Source organism: Homo sapiens, chromosome 16, assembly GCF_000001405.40.
Source record: "Homo sapiens chromosome 16, GRCh38.p14 Primary Assembly".
NCBI lineage: Eukaryota > Metazoa > Chordata > Mammalia > Primates > Hominidae > Homo > Homo sapiens.
This window is the reverse complement of record NC_000016.10, coordinates 30,053,118-30,071,623: the sequence shown is the minus strand read 5'-3', so window position 1 is coordinate 30,071,623 and position 18,506 is coordinate 30,053,118. Positions and strand designations below refer to the sequence as shown.

The following is an 18,506-nucleotide window of genomic DNA, read 5'->3' as shown; positions in this document are numbered from 1 at the left end:
TTTATGGGATTCCACAGCCCAAAGGAGACTAAGAAGCCCTCTCTAATTCCATCTCCTGTTAAAATGGGAAAACAGGCCAGGCGCAGTCACGCCTATCATCCCAGCACTTTGGGAGGCTGAGGCAGGCGGATTACCTGAGGTCAGGAGTTCGAGACCAGCCTGGCCAACATGGCGAAACCTCGTCTCTACTAAAAATAAAAAATTAGCCGGGTGTGGTGGCTTGCGCCTGTAATCCCAGCTACTGTGGAGGCTGAGGCAGGAGAATCACTTGAACCCGGGAGGGGGAGGTTGCAGTGAGCAGAGACCGTGCCATTGCACTCCATCCTGGGCAACAAGAGCGAAACTGTCTCAAAAAGAAAAAAAAAAAAAGATGGGAAAACAGAAAACTCAATAGTGTAGATTAAGGAGATAAGCATTGGCTGGGCGCAGTGGCTCACGCCTATCATCTCAGCACTATGGGAGGCTGAGGTGGAGGAACCATGTGAGGTCAGGAGTTGGAGACTAGCCTGGCCAATGTGATGAAACTCCACCTCTACTAAAAAACACAAAGATTAGCCAGGCGATAGTGGCGTGAGCCTGTAATCCCAGCTACTTGGGAGGCTGAGGCAGGACAATCGCTTGAGCCCAGGAGGCAGAGGTTGCAGTGAGCCAAGATCGTGCCACTGTACTCCAGTCTGGGTGACAGAGTGAGATTGTCTCAAAAAAAAAAAAAAAAGAGATATGCATTGATAATCCTTTCCACCAAGAAACAGTTCAATCTTGGGCAAAAGAGCCTTAGGTATAAATTAAAAATAACAGCATCTACTCATATAAAACACCCATTATGTTGCCTGGCTCATGTCACTCATGAGCTAGTTAGTGGGTTTTTGTCACAGGGGTCTTCTGCCCCCCTTGAGTTCTGGACCTAAAAGTGCTGAGGCTGAAGCCTCCTAAGACATGAGCAGTTACAACCATACTCCCCAACTGTTAGCCCTATCTTATGCTGTTAGGTGAAGGGGCAGAGCCTGCAGTGGCTGGAAGAAAATGTCACAAGCTCTCAGCCTTTCTTGAAGCCCTGGCCAAGTATAAAACAGAGCAGGAAGGTCCTTCCACCTTTCACTCCTTTTCTGCCCAGAAAAAACAGAGAACAGGGGCTCTTTCTTCTTCTGGGCTCTGCTACCTCCCCAGGCCCTCCCCTGCATTAGACACCACAAGACACGGACGGCCGACTCCCCCTTAAATAGCTGTTTATTTGGCAGTGTGCCGGAAAGGGTGATGGACTTAGCATTCACAGACGACACCACACACCACTGTCACGAGGGAAGAAAGAGCGCGGGCAAGCCAGCCTGGAGCCCCGAGGAGGCGGCCTCCTCTTCAAGAGTGGGAGGGGGCAGGGCCTGGAGTGTTGGGGGCAGCCTGGGAACACCTCCGCTTAATAGGCGTGGTTAGAGACGAAGAGGGACTCGCTGGCAGCAGCCCCAGCCTGACCGCTCGGAGTGTACTTTCCTTGACAGGCAAGGCTGTTGGCCTAAGCAGGGAGAGGGGTGGAGTGAGAAGGGCTCTTCTCCGAGTCCCATCCACCCAGGCACCCTGCCCACCTCCTGCCTATCCTTACCAGGGCTCGCTTGACATACTCCTCCTGCGCAGCCTTCAGGTTCTCCTTCTTCCCGCCCCAGGCCTTCAGGGCAGAGGCCTGCAGGGCTCGGCCGTAGGAGAAGGTCAGGGCCCAGGGCTTCAGCAGGGGGCACTTGTTAATGGCATTGAGGTTGATGGACGCCTCCTCCTCACTCTGGCCTCCAGACAGGAAGGTGATCCCTGTAGAGCAGGGGTGAGGCGAGAGGGGCTGTGGTCAGAGACCCAGGAAGCTGGCAGGAGCTGGTGGAAGTTGCCATGGAAATCCGTCCAAATGGGCATAGGGTTGTGGGTGGAGCTTATCTACTGCATAGAGATCAAGATGAGTGTGGGCCTCACCAGTGACAGCGGGGGGCACTGTGCGGCGCAGCGCTGTGACGGTCGCCATGGCAATCTCCTCATGAGAAAACTTCTGAGTGCAAGCATGGCCTGGGGTGACCATGTTGGGCTTCAGCAAGGTGCCTTCCAGGTAGATGTGGTGGTCACTCAGAGCCTTGTAGACAGCAGCCAGCACCTGGAGCAGAGCAGGCGCACGGTGGGTAGTGGGGTGGAGGAGAGGATAGGGGTTAGCCCCAGGGTCCCCGGCCAGCCACCTTGCACTGGTCAGGCAGGTAGCCATTTACCTTCTCGGTCACATACTGGCAGCGCTTCAAGTCATGGTCCCCATCAGGGAGGATCTCAGGCTCCACGATGGGCACAATGCCATTCTGCAGGGCGAGGGACAGGGTCACTGTGAGGCCTCCTAACCCAGAGTCCCACCTACATCTCTCCACAGCCACTGGTCAAGACCGTATCTTGATGATGCCAGGGACTCAGGCTTCAAAGCCCTCAGATTACAGGAGACAAGAGCCGCCTCAGATCCACCCACCATCCCTCCTTGGCCCCTCTGCCTTCAACAGCCCTTGAGTGTCCTCCACGGGCCAAAGCTAATGCTTGCTTTTGGGGAGGTAGGCATCATGGCAGGTAATAGGCAAATTAACAACACTGGAACCAAATGAGGTAGGAGGTTGCCTATTGAGGACCTGCAGGCCCACCTGCTGGCAGATACTGGCATAACGGGCCAGAACATTGGCATTTTCCATGATGGCGAGGGCTGAGGGGGTGTGTTCCCCAATCTTCAGCACACAACGCCACTTGGCGAAGTCAGCTCCGTCCTTCTTGTACTGGGCACAGCGCTCAGACAGCCCATCCAACCCTAAGAGAAGAGGAAGGGGTCAGAGCACGGTGGGGAGGGGCATGTGGTTTCCACTCCTCCCAGCACCCAAACCTGCTCTGGTTGGGTTCGTAGGGCAGAGAATCAAACAGTTCTCACCTTGGGTGGTAGTCTCGCCATTTGTCCCTGCCAGGGGGACCACGCCCTTGTCTACCTGTTGGGGTCAGGGTAACAACATTAAGACACAGGAAATGACCTCTAGCACCCTTTCCACTGTCGCCCCGGCTGGAGTACAGTGGTGGAATCTCAGCTCACTGAAGCCTCCACTTCCTGGACTCAAGTGATCCTCCCGCCTCAGCCTCCTAGGTAGCTGGGCGTGCCCCTCTTTCCTCTTCTTTAGCCCCAGTCTTCCCCCACATTTACTTAATCCCTTAAACTGCATCTCAGGGCTGGCAAATATTTTCACTTAGTTACAATTAAAATATTTAGTTACTTAAGCCGGGCATGGTGGCTCACGCCTGTAATCCCAGCACTTTGGGAGGCCGAGGTGGGCAGATCACGAGATCAGGAGATCGAGACCATCCTGGCTAACATGGTGAAACCCAGTGTCTACTAAAAATACAAAAAAAATTAGCCGGGTGGTGGCGGGCGCCTGTAGTCCCAGCTACTCGGGAGGCTGAGGCAGGAGAATGGCGTGAACCTGGGAGGCGGAACTTGCAGTGAGCCAAGAGATCGCACCACTGCACTCCAGCCTGGGAGACAGCGAGACTCCATCTCAAAAAAAAAAAAAAAAAAAATTTACTTAAAATGTTTAGTTACTCAAATACTTAGTTACAATTAAATTAAAATATTTTCACTTAGTTCACTTAGTAACAATCCTCTGAGACAGGATACACTGGGATGTTATTTGACAACAGAAATGTTGAGTGAATTGGGTGTCAGACTGGGGCTCTGCCACTTACTCTGAGCAAAACACTTCACTTCCCTGAGCTTCTGAGATTTTCATGTGTAAAGTGGGAATGATACTGTTCTCTCAGAATTGTGAGGATTAAAAATGTCGAGTAAATGCCCTAAGCCTGAAGCAGGCTCCATGCAAGTCTCTAGGCCACCAATCCAGCATTCATTCCCTGCCTCACTAACCTGGATTTCCTTCCTCCACTTCCATCTCAAACCTCACGTCCGGAGGCCCTCCCCTTACCTTGATGCCCACAACACCGCCCTTGGATTTGATAACTTGGGGGAAGGGACGCCCATCATCCGCCTTCTGGTAGAGTGTCTCATGGAAGAGGATGACACCCCCAATGCAGGGGTTCACGCGGTCGTCAGCTGTCAGCAGCAGCTGGCGGTAGAAGCGCCGGTTCTCCTCGGTGTTCTCGGTGCCAATGGACTGCAGCCGCTTGGCAATGCTCCCTGGGAGTGTCACATGGGAATTAGGGGATCAGCCTGCCACTCCCAACCCTGCACCCTCCACCCATTCTGTCTCCTGCCCGCACCAGTGGACTCATCTGCAGCCAGGATGCCCTTGCCAGGTGCCACGATGCGGTGAGCGATGTCAGACAGCTCCTTCTTCTGCTCCGGGGTCAGTGCTGGATATTGGTAGGGCATGGTGCTGGTAGTAGCAAGTTCCTGGATACAGGAAACAGAGGGGAAGGACTAGTTAGCTAGGGTTTCCCATCATCTCCCGATGACCAGGGCCCCTCTCCTGGAGGTCAGGGAAATGTTCCCTACCTCCCCTGCCCCACACCCAGCAGGCCCTGGGGCACTTCTGGTCCCCAGCTCTCTCTTACGCCCAACTTCCCTTTGCTAGGCCTGCCCCTGTACCTTTCCTAACTCTGTCTGGTGCTGGGTGTTGCCCAGCTGAGGGTGGAGTTGCCCACTGGCAACTGGGGGAAAGGAAAAGGCCATAGCCATGGACAGGTGGGTCATGTTGAAGCTGGACCCTTCTGGCTTGCGCCTTGCCATGGGGTCACCTTGCCTGAAAACAAAACCGAACCGGAGTATTTTAGAATGTAAAGATCGTGAATCAAGCAGAGGGCCCAACACCCTCGTGGGAAAGGGCCCAGATATGGGAAAGGTCTGTGCTTCAAGCCACACAGCAACCCCGGAGCCAGATCTGAGATTAGAACCCAGCTCTTCTGACTGCCACTGGGGTGTTCCTTCCAATCCCCTCAAGATCCCAGGGCTGGCCCGGGCTCCAAGGCTTCAAGGACATCCCAAGGTCAGGCTTTTCCCCACAAGGGAGGGGGCGGGTGGTAGGAAAGGGGCATTAGGAAAAATATAAGAGAGCAAGGAGAAGCCCAGGAAAGGGCGGCGGAACAAGCCCTAGCCCGAGGCGAGGAAAGCGGTAAGCTTTGCCATCGTCACTGTTCCTACGGGGCAAGAACGTGGAGGAGCAAGCGCCTTCCCCTGAAAAATGCTCCCGTCGCTTCGCATGGCTGCAGCTGTTCCGGGCTCAGAATCAAGGTCGCCCGATAAGGAGAGACAGGGAAAGTGTTAAGGGGGCATCAAGCACCGCGGAGGGGTTTCCCTCCTCGCGAAGGGCGCCCCGTTTCCCAGGACAGAAACCAAGCTCCCACTTGCGAGAACCCTGGGGCTGTACATGGGCCGGCCCCCACCCCTCACTGCCTCTTAGGATCCCCGCCAGGGCTAAGGGGCCCTAATCCTTTGCCACAGGGGTCCCTGCAAGAAAAGGGGGAGAATGGTCCTTCATCTCGTCCGGCTTCCTCCCCCGCCATGACTCAGCGCGCGCAGCCGCTGCATTGCGCAGTTAGAGGACCTCAGGCTGGAGGGGCCGGGGAGCCTGTGTGTGCCTGGTAGTGGGGAGACGCTGGCATGGGATGGGGGAGGCCTCCACGCGGACGCCCAACCCGCCACTGCCCCCAAGATCCCTCTCCACGGTCCCTGGTCCCCGCACGTGAAGAGGGGCGCTCACCTGGCACAGGAGAGGGGCGGGTGTGCAGGGTGCGGCGGCAGAGGGCGGCGGGCTGGCGAGTGGATTCAAGGAGAGAACGCGGGACTCGTCACCAGGACCCCTTCTGCGGCGCGTTCCGAGAGGAACGCAGCCGATTTAGCCTCGGAAGGGGCGGCGCAGGAGGCGGGCAGGCGGAAGGCGGCGCCCGGCCTTTTAAAGGCACCACTCCGCCCTCCGCCGAGCTTTTTCCTTTACGAGGAGCGGGCGGCGTCCAATGGCAGGCGACGGACTGGGCTACGGGCCGCCCCCGAGAGGCGCAGCCCAGAGGCCGCGCTAGGAAGGGGCGGGCGCCGAGAACACGATCCCTCCCCACCCCCCTCGGACGTGACTCGGACCACATCCCGCGGGTCGCTAGGGCCCTCCCTTCTGCTCCTTTCCCCCAGCCTGGCGCGCTCTGGGGCGCCGTGACTCAGCCAGAATGTTGGCAATGGGGGAGGGCGGAACGGGGAAGTGGAGGACGCGGATGGAAAAGTCGGAAACGAAGGAAGCTGAGTTTCGCCTCCCAGGCCCAGCGCGCGCGGCCCGGGGCCGCCCCAGCTTCCGGTCTTCGCGGCTGCAGCGCGTGTCACCATAGGGGCCACATCGCGCAGTCGTGCGTTAGCCTGCCTCGCCCGCGGGCTGAATCGGCGCGGAGCCGACACCCTGTCACTGGCCCAGGCGTAAGGGAGGCGGAGGAAAGGGCATCGAGAGGACACGCAGGGAGCGCGAGAAGGCGGCGGAACTAGCGGCGCGCGGAGGCGAGACCTCCCCATCCGAGTTCCAGGCTGGCAGGCCGGGCTGGGTCGCGCATGCGTGCGCGCTCTCCGCCGGGCCGCCGCAGCCAGGCTGGTAGTCCTCTGCGCCACAGAAAACCAGAATGCGCGGCTATGCACCGGCCGCTGCTCGGCCTCTGGCATGCGGGGTCACAGTTCCTGCCAAACGTCTTCCTTGAGCCTGACTTCCTTCTCCAAAAGAAAATCCGTCCCCGAACTGATCTGCCTCCCAGATGCTGAGCCCCCTGCTCCTATCGTCCAAATCTCCCCTCCTCACCTGGACCCCATCTGGACCCTGTTGGCCCAACCCCAACCCCATCCCCACCCCGGCCCGGTCCTGCAAGGGGCCCACCTGCGGCGAGGCCGAAGGAGCCGGCAGAGCCTGGTCAGCAGCGAGTGAGCTAGGGGTTCCCGGGCTGGTTATAAGGCAGCTCCTGCCCGCCCCACATGTGTCCCCGATCTTCTCTAATGACCCCTGCCCTTTTCCCGCCACGGATCCTCTGGCAGGGACCTATATTTAGGGAAACCTGAAGCCCCTGACATTCACACTATCGTGGGGCCCGGCATGGGGGAAGGGGGAGGAAGACTTGGGTCGGCCCTATTGATGGGGAGGGAGCCCCTGCCCACTCACCGGTGCTTCAGAGGAAATTCTTCCTTGGAAATCCAGACGGAGGCCCTTGGTTGTCAAGAGAAATAAATCTTTGGCCAGGGACCTGTGGGAAGGAAAGGGGTGAGGGGACTCGGATCACGTGGCCTCCCTGCCACCCTCCCTGGCTCCTTCTCTAATCTCCCTCCTCCCTTGACTCCCTGCGGTGATGGTGGCTGTTCTGATTCTCTGGAGCCCTGGTTTTTTTTAAGAAGGAGAGTAGATACTGGCACTACACTCACCTCCTAAAATAACGGAGAGTCCGTGGACGGAGTGTGGTTGAGGCACCCCTGCGTACCCGGTACTCAAGGGCCAGACTCCTCCTATAACACTTGTGTGTGGTGAGCAGCGCCACCCCCCTGCCCAACTTCAAATAGAATCGTTGACGTGTGGAGGGGAAGGGAAGCCAGGGCACCTGCCCGAGCACTAGCCCCTCTCTTTTCTGGCCCTCCAGAGGAGCTGCCGTCCAGCCGGCCAAGAGTCCTGCCCTGCAGGGAGCCAGGCCCTGCGCTGCCACTTCCAGTTCCCAGGCCTGGGTGCTCGGCAGGCCATCTGTGGTTCCAGTGGCGTGGGGAAAGGCTCTTCAGGGAGGAGGGCACATGGGCCCTGGGGGCTGGCCGCTCCCCAGAGGGCAGGGGCCCTGGGTCCTCATCGGAGCTTGATCTCGAAGCAGAGACAGTTGAGGCTCTGGCAGTCGGGGAGCTGGCACGTACAGGCACAGTCGCAGAGTGGGCAGCAGCGGGGGCAGCGAGGTGCCCAGTCCTGAGGGAGGAGAGAGAGGGTTGAGGGAGGTGGGATGGGGCCACGTCTGTTGCTCTCTAAGGGGAGAAGGGAACAGAGAGGCCTGGGAAATCTCACTTGCCCAGTGGAACAGAGGGTACTGTCCATCATTCCCAGGAACAGTGCAATTCCCTGTGCTGTTGAAAAATCAGCAGTGAGTCCTTGTTCTGAACAACTGAGTTCAGAAGCTAGAAGCAATGATTCAGGGTTCTCTCCTTCCCATTTTATGGGTGAGGAGACTGAGGACCAGAGAGCAACTGGCCCTGGGTCCCGTGCTAGAATTTGGGCCTCCCGGTGTCAAGCTCAAAAGATGGTTCTGCTACAGTCCCGGGGTCTGTGCAGTTGAGGCAGTAGACAGAGAAAGCACACACATTTTTCTGTCCATCATGAAAATGACTTGTGGGCTTTATGGACTTCTTCAGCATGAGACCAAAATAGAGGGTCTCATTCACCATTTTTGAGCATCTACTCTGTGCAACGAACAGACCGCATTCATGAATGATTTTAAAAATCTTTACAGGTATCTTTGAAAATGGCAATTTACCTATTTTTAATTTTTTTTTTTTTTTTGAGACAGGGTCTCACTCTGTTGCCCAGGGTGGAGTGCAATGGTGCGATCTTGGCTCACTGCAACCTCCACCTCCTGGGTTCAAGTAGTTCTGCCTCAGCCTTCTGAGTAGCTGAACTACAGGCGTGAGCCACCACACCCAGCTAATTTTTGTATTTGTAGTAGAGATGGGGGTTTCACCATGTTGGTCAGGCTGGTCTCGGAACTCCTGGCCTCAGATGATCCACCTGCCTCAGCCTCCCAAAGTGCTAAGATTAAAGGAGTGAGCAACTGTGCCCGGCCATTTTTTTTTTTTTTTTTCCGAGATGGAGTTTCACTCCTGTTGCCCAGGCTGGAGCACAATGGCGTGATCTCCACTCACTGCAACTTCCACCTCTGGATTCAAGCGGTTCTCCTGCCTCAGCCTCCCAAGTAGGTGGGATTACAGGCATGTGCCACCACACTTGGCTAATTTTGTATTTTTAGTAGAGACAGGGTTTCGCTATGTTGACCAGGCTGGTCTTGAATTCCTGACCTCAGGTATCTGCCCGCCTTGGCCTCCCAAAGTGCTGGGATTACAGGCATGAACCACCGTGCTCGGCTCATTTTTTGTACTTTTTTTTTTTTTTTTTTGAGACGGAGTCTCGCTCTGTTGCCAGGCTGGAGTGCCATGGCGCGGTCTCGGCTCACTGCAACCTCCGCCTCCTGGGTTCAAGCGATTCTCCTGCCTCAGCCTCCCAAGTAGCTGGGATTACAGGCACGTGCCACCACGCCTGGCTAATTCATTTTTTGTATTTTTTTGTAGAGACAGGGTTTCATCATGTTGCCCAGGCTAGTCTCAAACTCCTGGGCTAAACCCACCTTGGTCTCCCAAAGTGCTGGGATTACAGGCATGCGCCACTGCGCCCAATCAATTTTAATGTTTTCAAAAGAATTAGATCTATTTGTTTGTTTGTTTTTTCAAACGGAGTCTTGCTCTGTCACCCAGGCTGGAGTGCAATGGTGGGATCTCAGCTTGGGGCAACCTCTGCCTCCCGGGTTCAAGTGATTCTCCTGTCTCAGCCTCCTGAGTAGCTGGGATTACAGGCGCCCGCCACTACACCCAGCTAATTTTTGTATTTTTAGTAGAGACAGGGTTTCACCATGTTAGTCAGGCTGGTCTCGAACTCCTGACCTCAGGTGATCCGCCCACCTCGGCCTCCCAAAGTGCTGGGATTACAGGTGTGAGCCACCGCGCCCAGCCTTATATTTTTTAATTACCAGAATCCTGAGTAATGGGCTTCTTTACAAAAGAGAAAATGGATGGTTAGACATGGTGGCTCATGCCTGTAATCCCAACAACTTGGGAGGCCAAGGTGGGCGGATCACTTAAGGTCAGGAATTCAGGACCAGCTGGGCCAACATGGCGAAACCTCTTCTCTACTAAAAACACAAAAATTAGCTGGGCGTGGTGGGGTGCACCTGTAATCCTAGCTACTCAGAAGCCTGAAGCAGGAGAATCGCTTGAGCCTGGGAGGCAGAGGTTGCAGTAAGCCGAGATCGACCCACTGCACTCCAGCCTGGGCAACAGAACAAGACTCTGCCTCAAAAAAAAAAAAAAAAAAAAAAAAAAAAAGGAAATGGAGGCATAGACAGAGAGGCAAGTGATGGGAATGGAGCTGGGATGTACAGTCCTGCCTGCAATCCCTCTTGAGCCCTCTGCCTCCCAGTGCCAGGAGCATCAGCCTCTCTCTGGGTCTGCCAGGGCAGGGGCAGCTCATCCCATATTCTCCACTGAGCTAGCACTGGACTCATGCTCAGCAGGTGTCTGAGATATAAATGAATGCTGAATGAATGGATGAATCTAAGCATATCATTTGCCTTCTTTAGGCAAAGAAGAAAGAAGAGGGCTTCTCAGCTCCTGGAGGAAACAATGTCTGTCTCTTTGGGGAATAGGAGCAGCGTGTCCTTAGAGACAAGAAGGGAGAACTGGTCTATCCAGTGCACTGCTGTCCTCCCCTGGGACAGGGATGACCCGCAACTGCCTTAGGCATGGGCTGGAGTCAGGCCAAATGGCTGAAGTGGCCCAGGATGGCTGTGTGACAGAAGATTGGCTCCTTGAGGCCAGAGGCAGAGGTAGTGACAGTCACAGTTGTACAGTTCAATCAGAAACTTGGCCAAGCCAGGAATAGGGGAATGACCTTTCCAACAGCTGAGGTTTCAGGGTGTGGTGTCAGATGGCTGGTGAGATCAGATATCACTAGGGGCTGCAGTGAGGGGAGGGGACCTGCCACCTGCAGGGACAGGGGTCTGAATTGGGCTGTGCTACTGTCAACAGAACTGCCTCCTTGGGGGAGGCTAGAACCGTCATGGTGGAAGGGGGAGAGAGAAGTGATTTTCTTGTGTTTGATGAGGGTGTGATTTGGGGTGTCTCTAGGGAGTCTCAGTCTGGGGATGAAATCACTTCTGCGGGCTTTTGAAGGACCACACCATCATTCTGTGCACAGAACCCATGGCTGAGAGAGGCTCTGCTGCCATTACCTCAGAAAAGAGGGTATTAAAAGCATTTCTTGGCTCTCTCCCTTGGAAGGGTTTAGATCTTGTCATTAATAACTGGCTAATGGATTTCTCAACCGTTACAAGCAGCCATGTGGCTTCTGGAAGGAATCTGCTGTTTAAGTACATTAAACAAGGACTCCGCAAGACTGTTAACCCTTGTGTCTCTCCTGGCTCTCAGGAGAGTTTTTCACTTGAATTTTTCCTGTTGTCTCTGTGAGAGCCAGCCATCATCGTATAGATGGTTAAAGCTCAGGCCCTAGAGTCAGTAAGGCCTGGGTTTGAACCTCAGCTTGGCTAATTCATTTTTTCAGCCTCAGTTTCCTCATTTATAGGAATATAACACCTAAGGCCAGGTGTGGTGGCTCACACCTGTAATCCCAGCACTTTGGGAGGCCAAGGTGGGCGCACCATCTGAGATCAGGAGTTCAAGACTAGCCTGGCCAACATGGTGAAACATCATCTCTATTAAAAATACGAAAATTAGCTGGGCATGGTGGCGCACGCCTGTGGTCCCAGCTACTTGGGAGGCTGAGGTGGGAGACTTGCTTAAACCCAGGAGATGGAGATTGCAGTGAGCCGAGATTGTTTTACTGCACTCTAGCCTGGGCAACAGAGTGAGACTCCATCTCAAAAGAATAAAATAAAATAAAATGAAAAAATATAAGACCTAGTTCATAAGGCCATTGTCGGGAATCGGTGGAAGGAACTAAGCACGATGCCTGGTAAGTAATGAGTGCTGGACGAAAGAGAGCTGTTCTTGGCCGGGCATGGCGACTCACGCCTGTATGTAATCGCAGCACTTTGGGAGGCCAAGGCAGGTGGATCACCTGAGGTCAGGAATTCAAGACCAGCCTGGCCAACATGGTGAAAACCTGTCTCTACTAAAAATACAAACTTTAGCCGGGCATGGTGGCAGGTGCCTGTAATCTCAGCTACTTGGGAGTCTGAGGCAGGAGAATCACTCGAACCTGGGGGACGGAGGTTGCAGTGAGCCGAGATTACGCCACCGCATTCCAGCCTGGGCAACAGAGGGAGCACTGCACTCCAGCCTGGGTGACAAGAGAGACCCTGCCTGGGAAAAAAAAAAAAAAGAAAGAGAGATATTATTATTATTATTATTATTTTTTGAGACGGAATCTTGCTCTGTCTCCCAGGCTGGAGTGCAGTGGCACGATCTCGGCTCACTGCAAGGTCCGCCTCCCGGGTTTTACAGCATTCTCCTGCCTCAGCCTCCCGAGTAGCTGGGACTACAGGCGCCCGCCACCACGCCCGGCTAATTTTTTTTGTATTTTAGTAGAGACGGGGTTTTACCGTGTTAGCCAGGATGGTCTCGAACTCCTGACCTTGTGATCTGCCCGCCTTGGCCTCCCAAAGTGCTGGGATTACAGGCATGAGCCACCGCACCCGGCCTGAAAGAGAGCTATTCTTATCATAGCTTCTTCCCTCAGCAGTGGTTCTTAACCTGTGTGCATCAGAATCATATGAGAACTTGTAAAAGATTCACAAACTCTAGCCCCAGCCCAGACCTCAGTGTGGGGCCTAGATGCCTGGCTTTCCTTTTAAGTCCTATACCTGCTTCTGATCGCATGCAGGGCTGAGCAACCGCTGCTCCATAGCACGTCATTTCTCACCCTCTGTTGTAATGGCCTGGTTATTTCTCTCTCTCCATCACCAGAATGGAAGCCCTGCGAGGCTGGGGACCTTCTCCATCTTGTTTCTGCTGAGTCCCCAAGGCCCTAGACAGTGCCTCAACAGTAACTCCATAAATCTTTGGTGAGTGAGTCAATGAATGAATGAATGAATGAATGAGAACCTTGCAACATGCACATGAAAGAAGCAGAGCAGGCCAGGCGTGGTGGCTCACGCCTGTAATCCCAGCACTTTGGGAGGCCAAGGCGGGCGGATCACGAGGTCAGGAGATCAAGACCATCCTGGCTAACACGAAACCCCATCTCTACTAAAAATACAAAAAATTAGCCAGGTGTGGTGGCGGGCACCTGTAATCCCAGCTACTCAGGAGGCTGAGGCAGGAGAATCGCTTGAACCCGAGAGGCGGAGGTTGAAGTGAGCCAAGATTGCACCACTGCACTCCAGCATGGGTGACAGAACAAGACTCCGTCTCAAAAAAAAAAGAAAAAAGAAAAAAAAAAGAAGCAGAGCAGGCGAGCAGGCATGTTTCTCCCTCAGTAAGGAAGAGAAACCTGGGTTTCTATTCCAGCTGATCCAGCCATATAACCTCCAAGTCACTCCAACCTCCGTAAGCCTCAGTGTCTACAGCTGCCAAGTGGCAAGACATTTGTAACCTTCTGGGCTGTTATTACAAGGAAACTGAAGAGGGAGGGACTTAAATATACTTTGTGGAAAGACAGCTCAAGGACAGAAAGAACCTGCCCTGTCCTCCACCCTGTTAAATCCCTTCCTAGCTCCAGCAGAAACCAGAGAGGATCAGGGCCTGATGTCTCCAGGTTTGAAAGTTCTTGCAGCCCTCTGTGGGGAAGGTGGGAAGGCCCAGTCTATCCTTACAATGCACCTCACCCATCCTCTCTCCCAAGGAGGTGATGAGTCCCTGGCTATTCACTTCAAATAGACAGAAGGGGTAGGGGGCGGCATCCCCAGGACAGGGGGCCAGAAATCATTTTCTAATGGAGCATCTCCTCTAAGGCAAGAGGTTTTTTTGCTTTGGTTTTTTTTTTTTGAGACAGAGTCTCACTCTGTCACCCAGGCTGGAGTGCAGTGGCATGATCTCAGCTCACCGCAATCTCTGCCTACTGGGTTCAAGCTATTCTCCTGCCTCAGCCTTTCCAGTAGCTGGGATTACAGGCGAGTGCCACCACGCCAAGACAGGAGTTTTCAGAACCCAAGGTCTCCTCCTTTTGCCCTTCTGCCCCTCAGCCCCAAACCTGAGACCCCTCTGCTGACTGCCCCTGGCAAACCAGAAGGTGATTATCTGAAAAAGCGCTCCTTGCCCCACAATTTACTTCAAAACTGAAAACATGCCAGGGATTAGCACCAATCACCATATGCCCAAGTTATGAATTTGCTTTTATCCTCCCCTTCCATCCTAGGGAAGGAATGTCACCACTCCAAGGGCAGGGGCTTTGCTGTCTGAATCGCTGAGCTCAAAATAATCATTCCTCAGGACGGTGGTCGATTACATTTAACATCTTTAAACCCACAAATAGAAACAGGTTGTCTTCTCCAAGCCAGGCTTCTCCCCTGAGGATTCTACCTCAGCTAACGCTGTGGAGCTATTTGCGATGCAAGGCTCTCCTGCGTAACACTCTGGAGAAGCCACTAAACTTCCCTAAGCCAGCTTACTCCCCACTTCAGGAGGAGGACAGTAACCCTTATGTGTCTACACATACAGGCATGGATAGGTGGCGAAGTGTGATGTCAGGTTAAAAAGGGCAAGTAGAGGCTGAGCCCGGTGGCTCACATCTGTAATTCCAGCACTTTAGGAGGCCGAGGCAGGCAGATAACCTGAGGTCGGGAGTTCGAGACCACCCTGACCAACATGGAGAAACCCTGTCTCTACTAAAAATACAAAATTAGCCTAGTGTGGTGGCGCATCCCTGTAATCCCAGCTACTTGGGAGGCTGAGGCAGGAGAATAGCTTGAACCCAGTAGGCAGAGATTGCGGTGAGCCGAGATTGCACCATTGCACTCCAGCCTGGGTGACAAGAGCAAGACTCGTCTCAAAAAAAAAAAAAAAAAGGGCAAGTAGAGGCTGGGCATGGTGGCTCACTCCTGTAATCCCAGCACTTTGGGAGGCTGAGGATGGCAGATCGCTTGAGCCCAGGAGTTCAACACCAGCCTGGGCAACAACATGAAACCCCATCTGTGTGAAAGATATAAACATTAGCTGGGTGTGGTGGCATGCACCTATAGTCTCAGCTACTCAGGAGGCTGAGGTGGGAGGATTGCTTCAGTCCAGGAGGTAGAGGCTGCAGTGAGCTATGATTGCACCACCAGACTCCAGCCTGGGTGACAGAGCAAGATCGTGTCTCAAAAAAGGCGGGGGATAGGGGGACAGTAGCAGGTATGATGAAATAACCTACATGATACCACCCCATTTTTGCCAAATAATGGTAAAATACAGCAGTGATAGTACTGTATTAGTATATGAGAGATACATGTAAAACACAGCAACTTTGGGATAGAGAGCGGGTTTGTAAAGTGATTGGTACTTTCCATGTATTTCTATATGTATACTTTGTAAATAATACTTTTTGTAATCAGAAAAAACATATAGGTTTTAAAAAATACCCAGCTCTGGATCACCTGAGGTCAGGAGTTCGAGACCAGCCTGGCCAACATGGTGAAACCCCGTCTCTACTAAAAATACAAAAATTAGCTGGGCGTGGTGGCACACGCCTGTATTCCTACTACTCAGGAGGCTGAGGCAGGAGAATTGCTTGAACCCAGGAGGTGGACATTGCAGTGAGCTGAGATTACACCACTGTACTCTAGCCTAGGCAACAGAGCGAGACTCCGTCTCAAAAAAAAAAAAAAAAAAAAAACCATGGCTGGGCCATGGTGGCTCACGCCTGTAATCCCAGCACGTTGGGCAGCCAAGGCGGGTGGATCATTTGAGGTCAGGAGTTCGAGACCAGCCTGGCCAACATGATGAAACCCCGTCTTTACTAAAAATATAAAAATTAGCCATATGGTAGTTGTGTGAGCCTATAATCCCAGCTATTCAGGAGGCTGAGGCAGGAGAATCACTTGAGCCTGGGAGGTGGAGGTTGCAGTGAGCCTAGATCGCACCACTGCACTCCAGCCTGGGCGAGAGAGTGAAACCCTGTCTCAAACAACAACAAAAAGAAAAGAAGAGGGGAGGGGAGGAGACGGGAGGACCCAGCTCTGGAGGGAGGAAAGAAAAAAAAACAACTTAGTTCTCAGTTCTCAGGGTTGTTGGGAAAAACAAAGGTCCGTAAAGAGGCCCTATACCTAGAACACAGTTCATTCGGTGAACGGAAAGGAGCTGTGTGAGCTGTTTTTTCATTTAGCTAACTTTCATTTAGCTCACTTTCATTTAGAAGTGCTGGCTATGTACTCTACATGTTACCCACATCACCTTTCTCCAGCTGGCACCCTATTTTATTTTCTTCAAGTAGCTTTCATCACCAGGCATTATCTGATAGGTTGTTTTTACCTGGCTGCACATGATTCATGCCCTGGAACCGTGCCTGGCCTTGAGAAGGTGCTCAGTAATAAATGTTGTTGAGCAAAAAAATGAATGCACCGATCATACCTAGATCAGGGCTCAGTGGGGCAGGGGGTAGGAATGGAACTCACAGCTCTGGTGGGCTGGGGGCAGCAAGCATCCAGGAAGTGGGCCGGGCTAGGCAGAGGAAAGTTGCAGGCTTCTGCACAGGTCCAGCAGCAGTCTGGGGGCCCGGAGGAACCTTGCTTCCTGCAGGGGGAGCTACCGTCCGCGCAGCAGCCCTGGGCCTAGGTCACAGGGTTCAGGATGTGGAATAGGCAGCAGGTAGTGACAGCCAAGGCAGCTTTCCCGAGGGGAAAGGAAAAGGTTTGGCTGGGGACAGGAGAGGAGGGACCCCCTGGTACCACAAAACGGATAGATGCAAGGGCTAAATGTCAAGTGTCTCAGGGTAAGAGCCTGCAGATGAAGGGACAGGTTACCGGGATTCCTCTTCCCCAGAGCCCACCCTTTATCCCCGACCAGACCCCTCACCAGCAGGCAGTTCCTAGTCAGCAGGACTAGACCCAGCAGCAACAAATAGATGCCCACAGCGATGAAGACGATGGCAGGGATGGGGAGCAGCAGGGGAGGGCTGCTGACAGGAGCCGGGGTTGGATTCCACGGGCTAGAGGAGGCCTGGACGAGTACAGGAGGAAGGGGTGACAAGGAGATGGAGAGGGGCTGCAGGAACACGGGAATACCATGAGGGACGAGGAGGTGGCTGGGAGAGGAACGGCCACCAGATGGTGGGGAGAGCGTCAACAGGACTACACCCTGACTCATTATCTTGTGCCCTGAGCCTGCCTTTTTCCCTATCATTCCCAGTTCAGCAACATCAAGCACTTCAGCATTCTAGAGTCTTCTAGGGCTGATTTTCCTTCTGGAATGCCTCTCCAAAGAGATCTCTTGTCTCTGACTCCCTTGCCACTCCTTTACCATCCCTCAGCCCACATTACCGGCTCCTGTCATCCAACCTGCAATTTTGCCCCTTTCCACACCAGATGTCCTTGTGTAGTATCCCTCCCTCCCTTACAATCCGTCAATGGCTCCCAGTAACTCACTTAAAACTTTTTCTATTATTTATTTTATTATTATTATTCTTATTGAGACGGAGTATCACTGTCACCCAGGCTGGAGCAGTGGGGCAAGCTTGGTTCATGCAACCTCTGCCACCCGGGTTCAAGCGATTCTCCTACTTCAGCCTCCCTAGTAGCTGGGATTACAGGTGCGCGCCACGACGCCCAGCTAATGTTTGTATTTTTAGTACAGAGGGGGTTTTGCCATGTTGGCCAGGCTGGTCTTGAACTCCTGATCTCAGGTGATCCGCCCGCCTCGGCCTCCCAAAGTGCTGGGATTCCAGGCATGAGCCACCGCACCTGGTCAATTTTTTTAGAGACAGTGTCTCACTCTGTCACCCAGGCTGGAGTGCAGCGGCATGATCATGGCTCGCTGCAGCCTCGAGCTCCTGGGCTTAAACGATCCTCCCACCTCAGTCTCCTCAGTAGCTGGAATTACAGGCGACAGCCACCACGCCTGGCACTTAAAATTTATGTCAGTGACAAAATTCCCAATTTAGCCCTGCCTACCTCTCTCCCTCCCCCTCTTCCAAACACACGATAGCCCTAGCAGTTCCCCAAATGCTGCAGCCTCCCTCTCACCCCCAGACTGTTTCCTCTGCCGGAAATGCCTTTTCTCGTGGATTACTTAGTCAACTCCTTATCTTGCCAGGAATACCAGAAATGTGCCCTCCCGTGGGAAGTCCATTCCTGGACTCTTCCTGACAGCTCTCGTCCTGAGCTGGCAGGTTGTAGTCTCTGTTGGGTAGAAGCCCCCTCCCCAGTCCGTGCTGGAAGACAGGCCCATTCGGGGTTAGGAGAGGGCGCTGAGGGGGCCCAGAGAGGGGAAGGGGCCCGGACTTACGTCCATGGGGAAGGGCAGAGCCAGTCAGTCCGGGAGCTGCAGAAGGAAGGTTCTGGGTCTCAGAGGCTGAGAGGCACCGTTAGACCGGGGTGCCCACCCTCCTTCCCTTTCCTGTTTGGGGAAACTGAGGCCATGGCTGGGCCGGAGGGTGGAATTCGGGAAGGGGAATGGGGGGCGGGGGATCCGAGGCGGCGCCTTCCTCGCAGGCTCCAGCGCGCCCCAGGCCACTCCCCTCCTCAGTCCCCACACTCCGGGCTTCCCCAGTCGGTCAGCACCCATCACCTGCACCCTCGGGCCGCGGGCAATTCACGGATTCCGCGCCAAGCTAGGTCCAATCGTCCGAGGGACCGGCCCCGCCCAGAAGCCGTTCGCGGCATCCCGC

General features: G+C 54.1%; 2 protein-coding genes across 7 annotated transcripts, besides 5 other annotated features; both read right to left on the bottom strand.

Annotated features, from left to right (window-relative positions):
* ALDOA (aldolase, fructose-bisphosphate A) lies at window positions 1,204-7,345 on the bottom strand. 4 transcript variants are annotated; one of them, NM_001243177.4, is made up of 10 exons: window positions 5,697-5,864; window positions 4,586-4,739; window positions 4,258-4,390; window positions 3,963-4,174; window positions 2,924-2,978; window positions 2,646-2,806; window positions 2,235-2,318; window positions 1,951-2,125; window positions 1,595-1,794; window positions 1,210-1,507 (listed from the first exon to the last, which is right to left on the bottom strand). In NM_001243177.4, the coding sequence occupies exons 2-10, from the start codon at window positions 4,724-4,726 to the stop codon at window positions 1,412-1,414; spliced, it is 1,257 nt and encodes a 418-aa protein (NP_001230106.1). In that variant the 5' UTR covers window positions 4,727-4,739; window positions 5,697-5,864; the 3' UTR covers window positions 1,210-1,411. The 4 variants fall into 4 exon arrangements, with proteins under 4 accessions (NP_908932.1, NP_001121089.1, NP_001230106.1 ...); NM_184043.2 differs by lacking the exons at window positions 4,586-4,739; window positions 5,697-5,864 and adding an exon at window positions 7,119-7,345 and having other exon boundaries at window positions 1,204-1,507; NM_001127617.2 differs by lacking the exons at window positions 4,586-4,739; window positions 5,697-5,864 and adding an exon at window positions 6,840-7,127 and having other exon boundaries at window positions 1,204-1,507.
* Window positions 1,210-18,473, bottom strand: LOC112694756 (uncharaterized LOC112694756). 3 transcript variants are annotated; one of them, NM_001365304.2, is made up of 14 exons: window positions 18,407-18,473; window positions 18,125-18,160; window positions 16,697-16,840; window positions 16,297-16,452; window positions 7,376-7,895; window positions 7,119-7,200; window positions 4,258-4,390; window positions 3,963-4,174; window positions 2,924-2,978; window positions 2,646-2,806; window positions 2,235-2,318; window positions 1,951-2,125; window positions 1,595-1,794; window positions 1,210-1,507 (listed from the first exon to the last, which is right to left on the bottom strand). In NM_001365304.2, the coding sequence occupies exons 2-5, from the start codon at window positions 18,128-18,130 to the stop codon at window positions 7,782-7,784; spliced, it is 420 nt and encodes a 139-aa protein (NP_001352233.1). In that variant the 5' UTR covers window positions 18,131-18,160; window positions 18,407-18,473; the 3' UTR covers window positions 1,210-1,507; window positions 1,595-1,794; window positions 1,951-2,125; window positions 2,235-2,318; window positions 2,646-2,806; window positions 2,924-2,978; window positions 3,963-4,174; window positions 4,258-4,390; window positions 7,119-7,200; window positions 7,376-7,781. The 3 variants fall into 3 exon arrangements, with proteins under 3 accessions (NP_001352233.1, NP_001352236.1, NP_001352234.1); NM_001365307.2 differs by having other exon boundaries at window positions 18,125-18,473; NM_001365305.2 differs by lacking the exon at window positions 16,697-16,840 and having other exon boundaries at window positions 18,125-18,473.
* Window positions 5,547-5,726: a silencer, noted in NCBI's record as "silent region_7350". NCBI's record gives its function as "represses an Ori minimal core promoter by ATAC-STARR-seq in GM12878 lymphoblastoid cells {active_cell/tissue: GM12878}" and the evidence as "EXISTENCE:reporter gene assay evidence [ECO:0000049][PMID:35858748]".
* Window positions 5,767-6,036: a silencer, noted in NCBI's record as "silent region_7349". NCBI's record gives its function as "represses an Ori minimal core promoter by ATAC-STARR-seq in GM12878 lymphoblastoid cells {active_cell/tissue: GM12878}" and the evidence as "EXISTENCE:reporter gene assay evidence [ECO:0000049][PMID:35858748]".
* Window positions 6,033-6,813: an enhancer, noted in NCBI's record as "NANOG-H3K27ac-H3K4me1 hESC enhancer chr16:30076132-30076912 (GRCh37/hg19 assembly coordinates)". NCBI's record gives its function as "activates a minimal SCP1, AML or CMV promoter by ChIP-STARR-seq in primed H9 embryonic stem cells {active_cell/tissue: H9 hESC(primed)}" and the evidence as "EXISTENCE:reporter gene assay evidence [ECO:0000049][PMID:30033119]".
* Window positions 16,114-17,091: an enhancer, noted in NCBI's record as "H3K4me1 hESC enhancer chr16:30065854-30066831 (GRCh37/hg19 assembly coordinates)". NCBI's record gives its function as "activates a minimal SCP1, AML or CMV promoter by ChIP-STARR-seq in naive H9 embryonic stem cells {active_cell/tissue: H9 hESC(naive)}" and the evidence as "EXISTENCE:reporter gene assay evidence [ECO:0000049][PMID:30033119]".
* Window positions 17,092-18,070: an enhancer, noted in NCBI's record as "H3K4me1 hESC enhancer chr16:30064875-30065853 (GRCh37/hg19 assembly coordinates)". NCBI's record gives its function as "activates a minimal SCP1, AML or CMV promoter by ChIP-STARR-seq in naive and primed H9 embryonic stem cells {active_cell/tissue: H9 hESC(naive and primed)}" and the evidence as "EXISTENCE:reporter gene assay evidence [ECO:0000049][PMID:30033119]".